The 17,498-nt window shown below is 44.4% G+C and overlaps 1 long non-coding RNA gene across 1 annotated transcript, besides 2 other annotated features; it reads left to right on the forward strand.

Moving 5' to 3' along the window:
- Nucleotides 1-10,052: 10,052 nt before the first annotated feature.
- LOC124902259 (uncharacterized) lies at nucleotides 10,053-10,885 on the forward strand. Its single transcript, XR_007061750.1, has 2 exons — nucleotides 10,053-10,121; nucleotides 10,630-10,885. It is a non-coding gene; the product is annotated as an uncharacterized LOC124902259 (long non-coding RNA).
- Nucleotides 13,914-14,509: an enhancer, noted in NCBI's record as "H3K27ac-H3K4me1 hESC enhancer chr9:122817148-122817743 (GRCh37/hg19 assembly coordinates)". NCBI's record gives its function as "activates a minimal SCP1, AML or CMV promoter by ChIP-STARR-seq in naive H9 embryonic stem cells {active_cell/tissue: H9 hESC(naive)}" and the evidence as "EXISTENCE:reporter gene assay evidence [ECO:0000049][PMID:30033119]".
- Nucleotides 14,510-15,104: an enhancer, noted in NCBI's record as "H3K27ac-H3K4me1 hESC enhancer chr9:122817744-122818338 (GRCh37/hg19 assembly coordinates)". NCBI's record gives its function as "activates a minimal SCP1, AML or CMV promoter by ChIP-STARR-seq in naive H9 embryonic stem cells {active_cell/tissue: H9 hESC(naive)}" and the evidence as "EXISTENCE:reporter gene assay evidence [ECO:0000049][PMID:30033119]".

Consider the following 17,498-nt stretch of genomic DNA (forward strand, 5'->3'; position numbering starts at 1 on the left):
TTCTGTATGACTTTGAGCAAGTTCATGAAACTCTCCGAAGCTCAGTCCCCTCCTCTGCACAATGGAGATAACAAACCCCACAAAACAGGCTTTTTGTAAGGATTGAAAACCACAGGTTGGTTAGTTGTTGGCGGGGGTTTTGTTTCTATTTTTAACTTTCTGCTTGCTTATCATGTGCGAGGCAGTATGCCAAAGGATCAAATGTATTCACTCATTTAATCCCTGCCTCACCTCATGAGGGAGATCCCTTTGTCTTTGTTTTACATGGCAAGATTACTGAGGCCCTGTGGGAACCAGTGACTTGCCCTGGGTCACTTGGCTAGGGAGGGACATGTCAAGCCCAGCTTTGGAAACAAACCTCAGCTCAGACACTCTGCTCTAGCTTTCTGCTTGAACGTACTTTCTTCATGCCAGGCCTGAAATGGTAGGGATTATCACTGCCTTACAACCAGGGCCTCTGGAGCCCAGAGAGGTGAAGGGCCAACTTAGAACCACACGACACAACTCCCGTGTGTCCCTGCTGGAGGCGGAGCCGTCTGGCTGACCCCAGTGCCTGGGCTCAGCCATGACCTCCACCTGCCTCTCCTTGTAATGCTCGGTTATTTGGAAAGTAAAAAAGAAAAAACTTCACTGAATGTTTAGCAGAGATGAAACTGATTGAAGACATGGCCTTGGCATTAGATTATGGATCCAGCAGGGCTGGCGGTCCCCTCCTCCCCCTGCCACACTCTGGCCTCCTTGCCTGCCTCTGAGCCAGCCTCTGACAGTTTGTCAGGAAAGTCTTTTCTGCACTGGGGGCGACTTGCTAATGGGCTGATTCTGCAGCTGGTGTGACCAAAAAGACAGTGAGGAAGCACCTCAACTCAACCTCCAAACCTCTACCAGGAACTTTCACCCTAGGCCAGGCATGGGCTGGGCCCTCCAGTAGGGGATGAGGTGGAGGTCTGGGTGACCTTCTCTCACCTGTACCATTTTGCAATTGGCACTCTCACATAAGGGAGGCAGCCTGGTATTGGCAACGGACCTAAGCTTAAGCTCTAAGAGGCCCAAATCTAATCCCAACTTTGACACTTTACTAGCTGTGTAACCTTAGGCAAGTGGCTTGCCTTCTCTAAGCTTTGGTTTTCTCCTCTGTAATGCAAGACTAATCATGGTACCTACCATATAAGGCTCTTACAAAACACAAGTGGGTTTATGAACAAAGATTTGAGTTTGATTTCAGCCATCTTGAGTCTAGTTGGTTGGTAGAGATGTAGAGAGGCTGGGCGCTGTGGCTCACGCCTATAATCTCAGCACTTTGGGAGGCCGAGGATCACCTGAAGTGGGGAGTTCAAGACCAGTCTGACCAACATGGACAAACCCTGTCTCTACTAAAAATACAAAATAAGCTGGGCATGGTGGCGCATGCCTGTAATCCCAGCTACTCGGGAGGCTAAGGCAGGAGAATCACTTGAACCCGGGAGGCAGAGGTTGCAGTGAACCGAGATCGCGCCATTGCACTCCGACATGGGCAACAATACTGAAACTCTGTCTCAAAAAAAAACAAAACAAAACAAAACAAAAAGCAATTAAAATTTATAAAAAGACTGGGCACGGTGGCTCATGCCTATAATCCCAGCACTTTGGGAGGCCAAGGCGGGTGGATCACTTGAGCCTGGGAGTTCAAGACCAGCATGGGCAACATGGTGAAACCCTGTCTCTACTGAAAATACAAAAATTAGCCAGGCATGGTGATGCGCGCTTGTAGTCCCAGCTATTCAGGAGGCTGACGCAGGAGAATTGTTGAACCCAGGAGGTGGAGGTTGCAGTGAGCCAAGATGGCGCCACTGCACTCCAGCCTGGGCCACAGAGTGAAACTCTATCTTAAATAAACAAATAAAACAATAAAATGGTAGCTCTGAAGGAAATTGAGAGAGGGAAATGAGGCAAATTGATGGGTGATGTCCTCGGCTTTCCTTTCTGATGGCCAAGACATTGGCCTCTGACTGTGGCCAAATGCAGGGAAGGAGGAAAGAAGCTGCGTACAAGTAAGGAGCCGGCTTTCACTAGATGCTTACTCTGAGCTGAGCATTCTGTGGAAGGTACTATTGGACACTCAATCCCCTCAGCAGCCATAGGAAGCAGGTTTAATCATCTCCATTTTGCAAATGAGGCAAGTAAACATCAGCAAAGAGGAGCGTTCTGCTGAGACGACATCATTAGACCATAACACCATGGTTCAAACCCAAGTCTACCCGACTCTAAATCCTAGCCTTCTCCACACTCTGTCTCATGACCTTTTGGGCCACCAAGCCAGCTGTCTTCAGGACCCCAGGGTGGGAACCCAATTCTGAGGCAGATACCTGCTGTCTTGGATGCCTGCAGACAGGCCAGGAAAGGGGTGTTCAGGGTGGAGGTGAGGACAAAGGGGCCAGGCAGGAAAGAGAAAGGGGCTCCTGTTGCCTAAAGAGGAGAGGGGAAAAGGGACAGTCAGTGAATGTAACCTTTAGAGACCCATGGGAAGGGGGCCAGCAAACTGAGTCTCTTCCCCTCTCTGAGCCTCATGTTCCTCTTCTTACACCAGGTGTTCACAATAGCTGTCTCATCAGCATTAAATGAGTTGGTGCCCGGTGCTCTGCACAGAGCCTAGTAGACAGACGGCACTCAGTCATTGTCAGCTGTCCTCCATGGCAGCATGCCATCACTGCCTCCGTGAGAGCACTCCCCTCAAGGAGCTGTGTGTGTGCAGTGCGTAGGAGTCTGAGCATTGTGTGTGAGCGTGGGACGCCATTGCCCTCACGTGTGTTGAGGTGAATGTGTCATCTACCCTCACAATGCCTGAGGGCAAAAAAGAAAAAGTACAAGGGGGACTAGGAAGAGAAAAGGGAAAGTTGAGAGAGTGACAGGAAAAGAAATGGAAAACATCCGCCAACTCTTTGCGCCTCTCTGCCTGACCCTGTGTGTGTGTGTTCATGTGTTTGTCTTTCTCGCCCCACCCTTTTCTATTTCTTTGTCTTTGAATCTCTCTCCCTGTCTCTTCTTCCTGTTTGTCTCTTTCTCTATGTCTCTTTGTCTCTCCATCTCTCTCTCACCCTCCTGCCCTCTTTCTTTCTGTCTCTCTCTTACTATTTTTCTGTCTCTCTGTCTCTATGTCTGTCTCCATCTCTGTCTCTCTCTCCTCCCCACCACCCTCTCTCTCACACACACACACACACACTCACCTTCACATCCACCCAGCACACAGTCTCCTTTGTACACCCAAGTGCACAGCCCTCATGCTTACAGGCACAGTCTCTTAAACACTCCTTGATTTCTCCAAATATTCACACTCTTGCCCCAGATATCACCAAACCCACACATCACTCAATTACCTGACCACTTTGGGAGCACTGGTCTATCTACACCCCATCATTCTCTTGCACCACACATAATGGAGCACCTGCAGGGGCTCAGGTGCCATGCTGGGAGGACAGCAGTGATGGAGCTCACAGTCTGCTCATATGAAAACAGGGAGCACTTCTTCTCGGCCCCTGATGTTTCCTCCCGGTGATAAGGGTGCAATTAGTGTAACTCCTGGCTTCTCTATTCCTTGTCTCTGTCTGCCCAGGGGACCTGCAGAGACTCTTGATAGCTGATTTGTGAATTGGAGAAGAGACACTGAGCACACTCATATCAGCTCAGATCAGCTCAGCCTTCCTTCTTGAGAACAAGCTTAAGCTGAGAGTGCAGTTCTCCTGTGCACCTTCTTGCCCAAAATCCTGCCTGAGTGGGCTGCCATGTTGAAAGGCATGTCCCCCGCGCCACCATTGAGTTGCCTCTGAGACCCCAACAACATACACATCCATCCATCCATCCAAACAATTTATGCCCCTCCACCACCTTACACACACACATATCTCCTTTGTCATCTAAAACCTACTGTCATGAACAATCCATCCCACTTATTTAGCCTCATGCCGATACATACGTCTGCCAACCTCCATGCACCCAAGCCCACACACCTCTCTCTACATTCCCTTCCCTACCTACCTTCCCATGCCCTCCCCAACAAGCCTATCCCCCTTGGAGCTCACTGCAAGTCATCCTTCTGCCAGTGCAGTCAAAACCAGGTCATGTCACAAAGCAATTTTGCCCAACCCTCGAGATTTTTTACTCTGCTCACAGATAACTAACAGGACCATCTTCCCAGCTAATCGGGAAAGAAATCTGGTGGGTTCAATTGCTGCTGATATGCATTTAAATGGCTGCGTCTAAGAAGGAAATCTAAATGAGAGCTGAAGGGAGGCTGGGACACTGGGGGAAATCATGCTGTAATAACTGTGTGAGGCGAAGCAAATCAACAGAAAGCTGTACACTCGCTTGGGGAGAGAGAGAAGACTACTGTAACGCGTGTGCTCAGAAACTTATTGGAATCTTTGCACTTTTAATATAATGGCATTAGTGTCACGGTTTTTTATGTATAACTTCACCCGCCACATGTAATAAATGAAGCACTGTTTCCCAGTGCGTACAATGCTTGGATGTGGGTACAGGGAGAGGCTATGTGCTCAATGATCTCTTTCTGAATCTGAGTGATAGCATGCAGCCCTGAAGTGCAGAGCCAGACTGCACTTGAAGGCAGAACAGATCTAGTTCAAAGCCTGACCCTGCACTTACACACTAGGTGACCTTGGGTCAATTACTTAAGTCTGGAAATGTCCATGTCCTCATCGGTAAAATTGAGACAATGACACATACACCCCAGGGCTGAACTAAGGATTTAATAAGTTATATAAAAACACTCAGCTAATAATGTACACTTTATTTAATAAATGTCATTATTAGGCTTGGGTTTGGATCCTGCCTCCAATATTTAGTAACTGAGTGTCAGCCAGGCGCAGTGGCTCATGCCTGTAATGCCAGCACTCTGGGAGGCCAAGGCGGGCAGATCACCTGAGGTCGAGAGTTCAAGACCAGCCTGACCAATATGGAGAAACCCCGTCTCTACTAAAAATACAAAATTAGCCGGGCGTGGTGGTACATGCCTATAATCCCAGCTACTAGGGAGGCTAAGGCAGGAGAATCGCTTGAACCCGGGAGGTGGAGGTTGCGGTGAGCCAAGATCACGCCATTGCACTCCAGCCTGGGCAACAAGAGTGAAACTCCGTCTCAAAAATAATAATAATTGAGTGTCATTGAGTTCATTGCCTAACCTCCCTGTTCCTCAGTTTCCTCATTGTAAGATGGAGATAACAGTTTTTTTCTCAATGAATGCATGCAAAGTGCTCAGAACAGCATCTACACTTTGCACATGCTTGATTCATGTTCATTTTCATCATAATCACCACCATCATAAGTCAAAGGTGCTGAAGTTTATTGAGCATCTAATATATGGTGCCTGAGGGATAGAAGAAAGGGAACTGTTGATTCAATTCTGCATCTCATTCATTAGGCAATCCTAACCATAATTCAACCTTTGAGAGTTAAAATGGAATCTTGCCTCAGTAGTGTCACCTCCTCCTCTAGGCATGGCATGACCTCAGAACCAAAGGTACACTGGTCTTGCATTGGACTTAAGACACACAGTGTGCATCAGGAAAGTATCTAGGAAAAATCCTTCTAGGCAGAAGGAACAGCAGCGCAAAGGTCACAGGAAGGAAGAGAAAAGCATTTCTTTGCATCTGGAATGTAATACATAGGCAGGAAGCAGCAGCAGATGAGGCAGAGGCAAGCAAGAGGCCAGATCACAAATGGTCTTAGAGGCAGTCCTCAGGAATGGAAACCCATGGCGGGTGAATTGAGGGGAGAAGTGTTGGTACCTAATTTACATTTTTTATTGATACATAATATTTGTAGAAATGTATGGGACACATTTGATACTTTGATACATGTATAGAATGTGTAATGATCAAATCAGAGTATTTAGGATATCCATCACCTCTAACATTTATCATTTCTTTGTTTTGAGGGCATTTCAAATCTTCTTTTCTAGCTATTTTTAAATATACAGTACATCGTTGTTAACTGCAGCCATCCTACTGTGCTGTTGAATCCTGGAAATGAGAAATACGTCATTAGGTGATTTCATAGTGCTGTGAACATCATAGAGGGAACTCACACAAGCCTAGATGGTATAACCTACTACACACCCAGGCTACGTGGCTTGGCCTATTGCTCCTAGGCTGTAAACCTGTACACCACGTTACTGTGCTGAATACTGTAGGCAATTATGACAAAATGGTAAGCATTTGTATATCTAAACATAGAAAATGTACAGTAAAAAATATGGTATGAAAGATAAAAAAATGGTATACCTGTCTAGTGCACTTAACATGAATGAAGCTTACAGGACTGGAAGTTGCTCTGAGTGAATCAGTAAGTCAGTGGTGATTGAACGTGAAGGCCTAGGACATTACTGTACACTACTGTAGACTTTATAAACACTATACACTTAAGCTATGCTAAATTTATAAAAAAAATCTTTTTCTTTCTAAGAAAATACATTTTTTTCTTAGAAAATATATTTTCTAAGGTTACCTTTATTAGTCTATACACATTTTAATTTTTTTAACTTTTTGACTCTTTTGTAATAACACTTAGCTTAAAACAAAAATACTTCGCACAGCTGTATAAAAAATATTTTCTTTCTTTATACCCTGATTCTCTAAACTTTTTTCTACTTTTAAAATTTATTTATTTTTACTCTTTACACTTTTCTGTTAAAAACTAAGATGCAAACACACACATTAGCCTAAGCCTACACAGGGTCAGGATCATTAGCCTCACTATCTTCCACCTCCATATCCCACTGGAAGGTCTTTAGGGGGAGTAACATGCATAGAGCCGTCATCTCCTATGATAACAATGCCTTCTTCTGAAATACCTCCTGAAGGACCTGCCTGAGGCTGTTTTACAGTTAACTTTATTTTAATAAGTAGAAGGGGTACAATCTAAAATAACAATCAAAAGATAGCATAGTGAACACATCAACCAGTTACAGTCATTTATTTTCATTATCAAGTATTACGTGCTGTATGTAATTGCATGTGCTATACTTTTATATAGATTTGCTTACACCATCATCCCCACACACCTGTGAGTAATGCATTGCACTACAACATGATGGCTACCTCCATTGTTAATCAAAACACCGTTATGTAGTGCATGACTGTGTTTTAAAAGTAGAGCTAATAGGATGTACTGATGAAACATGGATTGTGAGATAGAGATATGAGAGTGGCTGCTAAGGTTTGAATGTTTTTCGTCCAAAATTCAGGTGTTGCCAATGTGAAGGCATTAAGAAGTGGAGCCTTTAAGAGGTAATTAAGTCACGAGTTCTCCCTTGTTAATGAGATTAAGGCCCTTACATAATAGAAGAGGCTTCATGCTGCATGCAGGTAACTCGCTAGCTTGCCCTTCCACCTTCTGCCATGTGAGAGCACAGCAAGAAGGCCCTCACCACATCTAATGCCAGTGCCTTGATCTTGGACTTCCCAGCCCCCAGAGCTGTGAGAAATAAATGTCTGTTTTTTTATAAATTAAATTTTTTTATAAATTACCCAGTCTCAGGTATTCTGTTGTAGCAGTACAACAGAATAGCAGACTAAGACAGTGGCCAAAAGCATTTAATAAGAACAAATGGATTTGAAGTATGCTTTCCAGTTGTTTGCTTGGGTTGTTTGCTGGTTGCAGTGCAATGAGGCTCCTCCCTGCTACCCACAATCCTTCAGGAAAAGTTCTGCATGCCACAGTCTTATGTGTATGTTTCCACTGGCAAAGGCAACTAAGAAGAAAGAGCCATCATCTCCATGCATGACAGGGACACTTCTTTTTTTTTTTTTTTTTTTTCTTTGAGACAGAGTCTTGCTCTGTCACCCAGGCTGGAGTGCAGTGGCGTGATCTCAGCTCACTGCAAGCTCTGCCTCCTGGGTTCAGGCCATTCCGCCTCAGCCTCCCAAGTAGCTGGGATTACAGGCGCCCGCCACGGCGCCTGGCTAATTTTTTGTATTTTTTTAGTAGAGACGGGGTTTCACCGTGTTAGCCAGGATGGTTTCGATCTCCTGACCTCATGATTCGCCCGCCTCGACCTCCCAAAGTGCTGGGATTACAGGCGTGAGCCACCGCACCCAGCCTCGGGACACTTCTTAAATATAAAAAAAACAAAAAGAACTCCAAGAACAAGAATTTGTGGGAGACAAGAAATCTAAGCCAGAGGTGGTGGCAAAAATATAAGTTCCTGAGATATCTGCACAATCTTGAGGAGATGTTTGAACTCCTGTAAAGTGTGGAATGAGAATCTAAGCCAAATGTATCTACATATCAAGGGATCAAGAAATCTCAGCTCACATCTGCAATATGTGTATGTATATAAAAGACTACAGAGAAGGAAATATGCCAAACAAGAGGTGGTTGTACAATTATGGATTATCTCCTTTTTTGTCCTCGTTTTTCTCTAAGTTTTCTAAATTGGCAACAGCAACTATATTTTATAATCAGAAGAAATGTATTAGAAGTAAAAATCACAAAGTGGAATTTCACAAATAACTGAATTTCTCCTGGCATGCATCAAGTACATAAAAGGACAAGGCAGCCTTCTCCTTATTCTAGGCAACACATTCCTAATAGCGCAGCTTAAGGTGGCCAGTAGCATATAACGGAGTTGGGGACACTATCGGTGCAAATATCTGTGTGTCATTGACAGGTACAGAGTCTTAGCTGTATTTCCCTGCCATACAAAGCCTGTGCTGCTGGTGTTTAGACATCAGCACAGGATTCTCAGTTATCCCCATGATGTTTTATCTTGTAGGATTCAATCTGAAATCATAATGCTGAGATCTTTTGTGCATCCTGAGCCTGTCTTCCAAAACATTCCCTGACCCTTCCAGAATCTTGTCCCTGGAAAACTAGATATCCATGCCATCCACATCTCCTTTTCTCCATTCGGTTATAATATCTAACACTCACTAAGCACATTCCATGGGTCAGGCAGTGTTTTAAGAGCTTTACACGGATTAGCTCATTTAATCCTCACAACAACCCTGCAAGATAGGTTCTTTCATCATCCCTATTTGACAACGAAGAAAACGAAGCATCCAGTGGTTAAACATCTTGTCTAACATCTCAAAAAATAAAGCATCAGGGGCAGGATTTGGCTCCATGTTCTTCCATGCCACACTATCCAGCCTCTCATGGGGTTTTTAAGGGCCAGGATCTCTGATAATAAGACACAGGAATAAGCAGCTCCCTTCAGACAGCTTAGCAGATTCTGTGGTTAAATGTAGTTAAACATTATAGGTCCTTTGCTGGCTCTCCTACTGTGGGACCTTGGGCAAGGTCTTACTTACTCTGTTCTTTGGTTTCCTCATCTGTAAAAGAACACTGAAAATAATGCCTACCTTATGGAGCTGTTGGGAGGGTTAAGTGAGCTAACACAAGTAAGGGACTTAGAAGAGTACCTTGCATGTAATTAGTACTCAGTTAATGTTAACTATTAACTATTATTATTATGGTAGGATATAGGGAGGTACAAAGAAAGGAATAAATACTCATTGCTCTTGAGAGCAGTCAAGAGGACTTTAGAGGCCAGGCGCAGAGGCTCACAACTGTAATCCTAGCACTTTGGGAGGACAAAGCGGGTGGATCACCTGAGGTCAGGAGTTCAAGACCAGCCTGGCCAACATGGCAAAACCCCATCTCTACTAAAAATACAAAAATTAACCAGGTGTGGTGGCATGCATCTGTAATCCCAGCTATTTGGGAGGCTGGAGGAGGAGAATCGCTTGAACCTCAGGGGGCAGAGGTTGCAGTGAGCCGAGATCACCCACTTCACTACAGCCTGGGCAAAAGAGCGAAACTCCATCTCAAAATAAAATAAAATAAAATAAAATAAAATAAAATAGGATTTTAGAGAGGTGAAGAAATCTGAGTATTGAAAGAGATGGCCTTTTCTATAAGTAAGCAATGCGGGAGAGCTCTGGCTTTGCAGGCAATGGGCCAGCAGGAGCCAACACCTGGAGGCAAGAGGGAATAATACAGTGGTTATGTCCTCACTCTCCATGGGCATTTAACCATATGGTGTTGTTTTCTTTCCACTCAGGAAACGGGAGCAGCCTCCACTGCTTACCTGTTCAAACCACCTTAATTTGTGGCCTCTGGGGTGGAAGGTAATGGAAGACTTTCCAGGTTTTAGCTCTGTTTAGTGCTGGAAGAGCACAAACTTTGGCTTCAAAGAGAAAAGGCATTTGAAAGGCTTATGAAAAGGCTTATGAGCCTTCTTGTACATCAAACGTGCCTTACAAAGCAACATTTTGATGAGTTAAGTGCAAATGAATCAGAAACACAAGGATTAAATTTCCCTTGAAATACACACAGGTCTAAAGATTAAGGGGAAATTGCCTGGCAAAACGTGTTTTGGGTTAAACACTGGGAAGTAGTTCACACTGGTTCCTGTCTGCTACTCCCCCTCTATTATTAGTGTAAGTAACAACAACAGTAATAGTATCAACATTGCTTGATATAATTTTAGCTCTTTTATGGCCTATGGGACTCTTCTGTGTAGGTATATAAAAAATTAAAATACAATGATAGAAGTAGAAACCCATACAAGGAGCTAGCATGCAGCAGCAGAGACTGGCTATCTGTCCATTAAACCAGCTTCCCTTTCCTCCTCAGCTCACAGCTGGACTACATCTCCTAGGCTGTGTTTCAGCCAATGGACTATGGCCAAAAGCAGGGAATGCCCCTTCCAGGCCTGGCCTATAAAAATCCCCCATGTGCTCCTCTGTTCTCTCTTTGTCCACCTGCCAGCTGGACATTGATGCTCAAGGCAACCTTGGAGGTCATGTGTTGAAGATGGCAGTGTCTTTGCCAACCCCACTGCCAGTGGACTTTATGTGAACACAAAATAAACTTCTATGATGTGAATCCACTGAGGTCTCAGGACTTCTCTGTTACAGCAGGTAGTGACACCGTAACCTAGATAGATAAATAAAAGCCCACATGGGTAGGAAGAAATTTGGATCACAAATCAAGACCCCTGAGTTCTAGTCTCTGCCTCAAACATGCTGTGCGGTGCCCTGGGCAAGTCCCTGTTCACCCTTTGGGTCTCAGTTTATTCAGTGGTCAAATGAGATATTTGATTAGGCAATTGCCGAAGTCTAGCTCCAGTGTTTAAAATTAAATGATTCTAAATAACAACTTGCAACTTGAGTTCCATTTTAGTCAACAAAGGTTTATTTAAAAAAGAAAAACCTACTAATTGTCAGGCATTGGGGCTACAGAGTTAAATAAATCCAGGCATTTAGAATATAAGCTTGAAGATAAATGACTATAATAAATATAGCAAAAAGCAAATCAATAAATGAATCAATCAATCACAAAGAGCAACAGGCTGTGCTTGAAGGAGGGTGGAGATGTAACTAAAAGCCACTAGCAGACAATGACATTTGAACTAGGCTTGGAGGACAGAAGGCTAGCAAGGTGGGGGGCGTACTCCAGACAGATCCAGAGATGTCATAACTGAAAGGGTCCTTATTTCACACATAGGAAACTAAGACCCAGAGGAGTTCTTATTGGTTGCAAACTAGAAGGTCATTAACCAATTTCCCAGAGTCTCAGTCCTTGTCTAGATTCCTTAAAAAGTAAAGACCTCCAGGAGATGATATGTGAGATTAAAAAGACTGGGTCTAGGTCACCCAACTGATGCTTCTGTCCTTTCTGGCCCACCCACCAAATGGCCATTTATTCACAAAACCATCCTCACCACGCTACTACCGACAAAGTCACAATCTCCCTGTGCATTTTATTTGACACAGGCATGGGACTTTACAATTGCTCCTGTTCCTTTCGTATTTAAAAAATTCAAACCCATGGTTTTAGTCTGACCATGATCCAACAGCCTGTTCTTCCTTCAGGTCTCACAGCACCCCTACATTGGACGATAATACTGTCAATAACCTCATCAGTCATTAATACAAATAATAGGCAGGGCAGGCCCAAAGACAAGGGGCTTTCCTCCAGATGAGCATGTCTGATATAAATCAGAGAATGCGCCTTTAAGGTAAGCAAGGCACCCTTCTGAAGCATGAGGTCAGAGGAGGTGTATTAGTTATCTATGGCTCATGTAAGAAATTACCACCAACTCAGTGGCTTTATGCAACACAAATTTATTTGTCTTAAAGTTTTGTTTTGTTTTGTTTTTTGGGTTTTTTGTTTGTTTGTTTGTTTGTTTGGAGACAGTGTCTCGCTCTGTAGCCCAGGCTGGAGTACAGGGGCACAATCTCAGCTCACAGCAACCTCTGCCTCCTGGGTTCAAGCGATTTTCCTGCCTCAGCCTCCCAAGTAGCTGGGATTATAGGCACCCAACACCACACCTGGATAATTTTTGTAGTTTTAGTAGAGACAGAGTCTCACCATGTTGGCCAGGCTATTCTAGTACTCCTGACCTCAGGTGATCCACCCACCTCAGCCTCCCAAAGTGTTGGGATTACAGAAGTGAGCCACCATGCCGAGTCTATTTGTCTTAAAGTTCTGTAGGTTAAAAGTCCCACATGGATCTCACTGGGCTACAACCAAGGTGTTGTTGAGGCTGCATTCCTTTCTGGGGGCTCCAGGAGAGATCTGCGTCCTTGCTTCTAGGGGCTACCTGCTTACTTTGTTGTATCCTTGGTGCTTCAAACAACACCTGGTGTATAGATATTCCTCCCAAAGCTTCTAGAGGCCACCTCCATTGCTTGTATCATGGCCATGTTCCTCCATACTCAAAGCCAACAATGTCAGGTCGAGATCTTCTCACTTTGCATCACGCTGACCTCCTCTTCTTCCTCTATCTTCCACTTCTAAGAATGCTTGTGATTACATGGAGTCCACCAGGATAATCTTGGATTATCTTTCTATGTTAAAGTCAGCCAATTAGCATCCTTAACTCCACCTGCCACCTTAATTCCCCTTTGCCATGTAATGTAACATATTCACAAATTCCAGGAATTAGGATATGACATCTTTGGGGGATAATTATTATGCCACTACAGGTGGGATTATGTCAATTCATTATTTCATTCTTTATTAAGCACCTGTTGTGTGCCATACTCACTGTGCACCAAGCTCACTGCACCAGAGTCTGAGAAGACAGTCAGTAATAACTTTCCTGCCTTTGTAGATAGAACTCACAGTCTAGTGAGGAAGGCACTGAAGAGGGCACCAGCTAAGAGTGATGGATAATAGGCTAATGTTTAGGAAAATCTCTCTGAACAGGATGGCTCTGTATTTGTTTGCCTTGCTTCATACCTAAAGCCTCAGATTAACAGGAAGAAATCCCCAAAATGGTTAATTTCTCTATCAAAAAAAGAAAGAAAGAAAGAAAAAGAAACTGGGTTAATTTTTAATGAACCTGCCATGGCTCTGAATGATCACCACTTCATTTTCTAGTTTTCCTTTATTGAGGCTTGGTCTGAATTCTTGCTTGGGTGAAACAACTACTATGTATCAAAGGCACTGAGACTGCAATAAGATGAAGATTGGTGTCTGCCCTGGAAGGTTGTAGAGGCTAGTGGCAGGTGAAGACAGGTCTTCAGGCAATCACAAGAGTGCAGCAGATAAAATCTTTACTTGTCAATGTGGGGTCATGGTAGCAGAACACGGTGGCCCAGAGTTCTGTGGAAAATATTGTAACATGAACAAGAAGCCACAGCCAGGACAGAGGTCAGTCAGTGTCTTAGGCAGGTGTGTCTGAGAAGGGTGACTCTCAGAAGAGTGGGGCTGAGGACTTTTTCCACTTCAATCTGCCATTTTAAGGAGGAAAAGAAGGGCAGAGCAAGAGTCAGCTAGCATCAGGAGCGCATCTGCTTTGAAATGCCAGGAGGTCCACGCTAGAGGCAGTCTGAGTCCAGAGGTAGGGACTAGATTCCAAAGATCAAAATAGCTTGTGGGAGCAAGCCAAGCAGAGTCAGAAGGGTACTAGGAATGGGATTCTTGGAGCCAGTCTCTGCAAGGTATTTCTGCCCTGCAATATGAGTCTTATGATGAGGTTCAACCAGGAGAGGTCTTCTTTGTCTTCCATGGGTATGTAATTGCTGCCAGATGTGGGGAAAGGTGCTGGCTCAGCATCAAGGCAGCCCTATGGGTTCTGCTAAAACTTTTTCTGGCTCAAATTCATCTCTCTCCCTGAGGTTTCATCCATGTATCAGTGGATTTCCAGACATCACATTTTCAACAAGTGGAGATGACACATCAAGAAATCAGAGGTCATTGCCATCAAGGCCTTCACAGGTGATCAAGTGCTGCTTCTTCATATTGCCACCTTCTAAGTTAAAATCTGGAGTGAGGGGGGAGGAGCCAAGATGGCCGAATAGGAACAGCTCCGGTCTACAGCTCCCAGCGTGAGCGTCGCAGAAGACGGGTGATTTCTGCATTTCCATCTGAGGTACCGGGTTCATCTCACTAGGGAGTGCCAGACAGTGGGCGCAGGCCAGTGGGTGTGCGCACCGTGCGCGAGCCGAAGCAGGGCGAGGCATTGCCTCACCTGGGAAGCGCAAGGGGTCAGGGAGTTCCCTTTCCGAGTCAAAGAAAGGGGTGACGGACGGCACCTGGAAAATCGGGTCACTCCCACCCGAATACTGCGCTTTTCAGACCGGTTTAAAAAACGGCGCACCACGAGACTATATCCCACACCTGGCTCGGAGGGTCCTACGCCCACGGAATCTCGCTGATTGCTAGCACAGCAGTCTGAGATCAAACTGCAAGGCGGCAGCGAGGCTGGGGGAGGGGCGCCCGCCATTGCCCAGGCTTGCTTAGGTAAACAAAGCAGCCAGGAAGCTCGAACTGGGTGGAGCCCACCACAGCTCAAGGAGGCCTGCCTGCCTCTGTAGGCCCCACCTCTGGGGGCAGGACACAGACAAACAAAAAGACAGCAGTAACCTCTGCAGACTTAAATGTCCCTGTCTGACAGCTTTGAAGAGAGCAGTGGTTCTCCCAGCACGCAGCTGGAGATCTGAGAACGGGCAGACTACCTCCTCAAGTGGGTCCCTGACCCCTGACCCCCGAGCAGCCTAACTGGGAGGCAACCCCCAGCAGGGGCACACTGACACCTCACACTGCAGGGTATTCCAACAGACCTGCAGCTGAGGGTCCTGTCTGTTACAAGGAAAACTAACAAACAGAAAGGACATCCACACCAAAAACCCATCTGTACATCACCATCATCAAAGACCAAAAGTAGATAAAACCACAAAGATGGGGAAAAAACAGAACAGAAAAACTGGAAACTCTAAAACACAGAGCGCCTCTCCTCCTCCAAAGGAACGCAGTTCCTCACCAGCAACAGAACAAAGCTGGATGGAGAATGACTTTGACGAGCTGAGAGGAGAAGGTTTCAGACAATCAAATTACTCTGAGCTACGGGAGGACATTCAAACCAAAGGCAAAGAAGTTGAAAACTTTGAAAAAAATTTAGAAGAATGTATAACTAGAATAACCAATACAGAGAAGTGCTTAAAGGAGCTGATGGAGCTGAAAACCAAGGCTCGAGAACTACGTGAAGAATGCAGAAGCCTCAGGAGCCGATGCGATCAACTGGAAGAAAGGGTATCAGCAATGGAAGATGAAATGAATGAAATGAAGCGAGAAGGGAAGTTTAGAGAAAAAAGAATAAAAAGAAATGAGCAAAGCCTCCAAGAAATATGGGACTATGTGAAAAGACCAAATATACGTCTGATTGGTGTACCTGAAAGTGATGCGGAGAATGGAACCAAGTTGGAAAACACTCTGCAGGATATTATCCAGGAGAACTTCCCCAATCTAGCAAGGCAGGCCAACGTTCAGATTCAGGAAATACAGAGAACGCCACAAAGATACTCCTCGAGAAGAGCAACTCCAAGACACATAATTGTCAGATTCACCAAAGTTGAAATGAAGGAAAAAATGTTAAGGGCAGCCAGAGAGAAAGGTCGGGTTACCCTCAAAGGGAAGCCCATCAGACTAACAGCGGATCTCTCGGCAGAAACCCTACAAGCCAGAAGAGAGTGGGGGCCAATATTCAACATTCTTAAAGAAAAGAATTTTCAACCCAGAATTTCATATCCAGCCAAACTAAGCTTCATAAGTGAAGGAGAAATAAAATACTTTACAGACAAGCAAATGCTGAGAGATTTTGTCACCACCAGGCCTGCCCTAAAAGAGCTCCTGAAGGAAGCGCTAAACATGGAAAGGAACAACCGGTACCAGCCGCTGCAAAATCATGCCAAAATGTAAAGACCATCAAGACTAGGAAGAAACTGCATCAACTAACGAGCAAAATCACCAGCTAACATCATAATGACAGGATCAAATTCACACATAACAATATTAACTTTAAATGTAAATGGACTAAATTCTCCAATTAAAAGACACAGACTGGCAAGTTGGATAAAGAGTCAAGACCCATCAGTGTGCTGTATTCAGGAAACCCATCTCACGTGCAGAGACACACATAGGCTCAAAATAAAAGGATGGAGGAAGATCTACCAAGCAAATGGAAAACAAAAAAAGGCAGGGGTTGCAATCCTAGTCTCTGATAAAACAGACTTTAAACCAACAAAGATCAAAAGAGACAAAGAAGGCCATTACATAATGGTAAAGGGATCAATTCAACAAGAGGAGCTAACTATCCTAAATATATATGCACCCAATACAGGAGCACCCAGATTCATAAAGGAAGTCCTGAGTGACCTACAAAGAGACTTAGACTCCCACACATTAATAATGGGAGACTTTAACACCCCACTGTCAACATTAGACAGATCAACGAGACAGAAAGTCAACAAGGATACCCAGGAATTGAACTCATCTCTGCACCAAGCGGACCTAATAGACATCTACAGAACTCTCCACCCCAAATCAACAGAATATACGTTTTTTTCAGCACCACACCACACCTATTCCAAAATTGACCACATAGTTGGAAGTAAAGCTCTCCTCAGCAAATGTAAAAGAACAGAAATTATAACAAACTATCTCTCAGACTACAGTGCAATCAAACTAGAACTCAGGATTAAGAATCTCACTCAAAGCCGCTCAACTACATGGAAACTGAACAACCTGCTCCTGAATGACTACTGGGTACATAACGAAATGAAGGCAGAAATAAAGATGTTCTTTGAAAGCAACGAGAACAAAGACACAACATACCAGAATCTCTGGGACGCATTCAAAGCAGTGTGTAGAGGGAAATTTATAGCACTAAATGCCCACAAGAGAAAGCAGGAAAGATCCAAAATTGACACCCTAACATCACAATTAAAAGAACTAGAAAAGCAAGAGCAAACACATTCAAAAGCTAGCAGAAGGCAAGAAATAACTAAAATCAGAGCAGAACTGAAGGAAATAGAGACACAAAAAACCCTTCAAAAAATCAATGAATCCAGGAGCTGGTTTTTTGAAAGGATCAACAAAATTGATAGACCGCTAGCAAGACTAATAAAGAAAAAAAGAGAGGAGAATCAAATAGACACAATAAAAAATGATAAAGGGGATATCACCACCGATCCCACAGAAATACAAACTACCAT

This window comes from Homo sapiens, chromosome 9 (assembly GCF_000001405.40).
Source record: "Homo sapiens chromosome 9, GRCh38.p14 Primary Assembly".
NCBI classification, from domain to species: domain Eukaryota; kingdom Metazoa; phylum Chordata; class Mammalia; order Primates; family Hominidae; genus Homo; species Homo sapiens.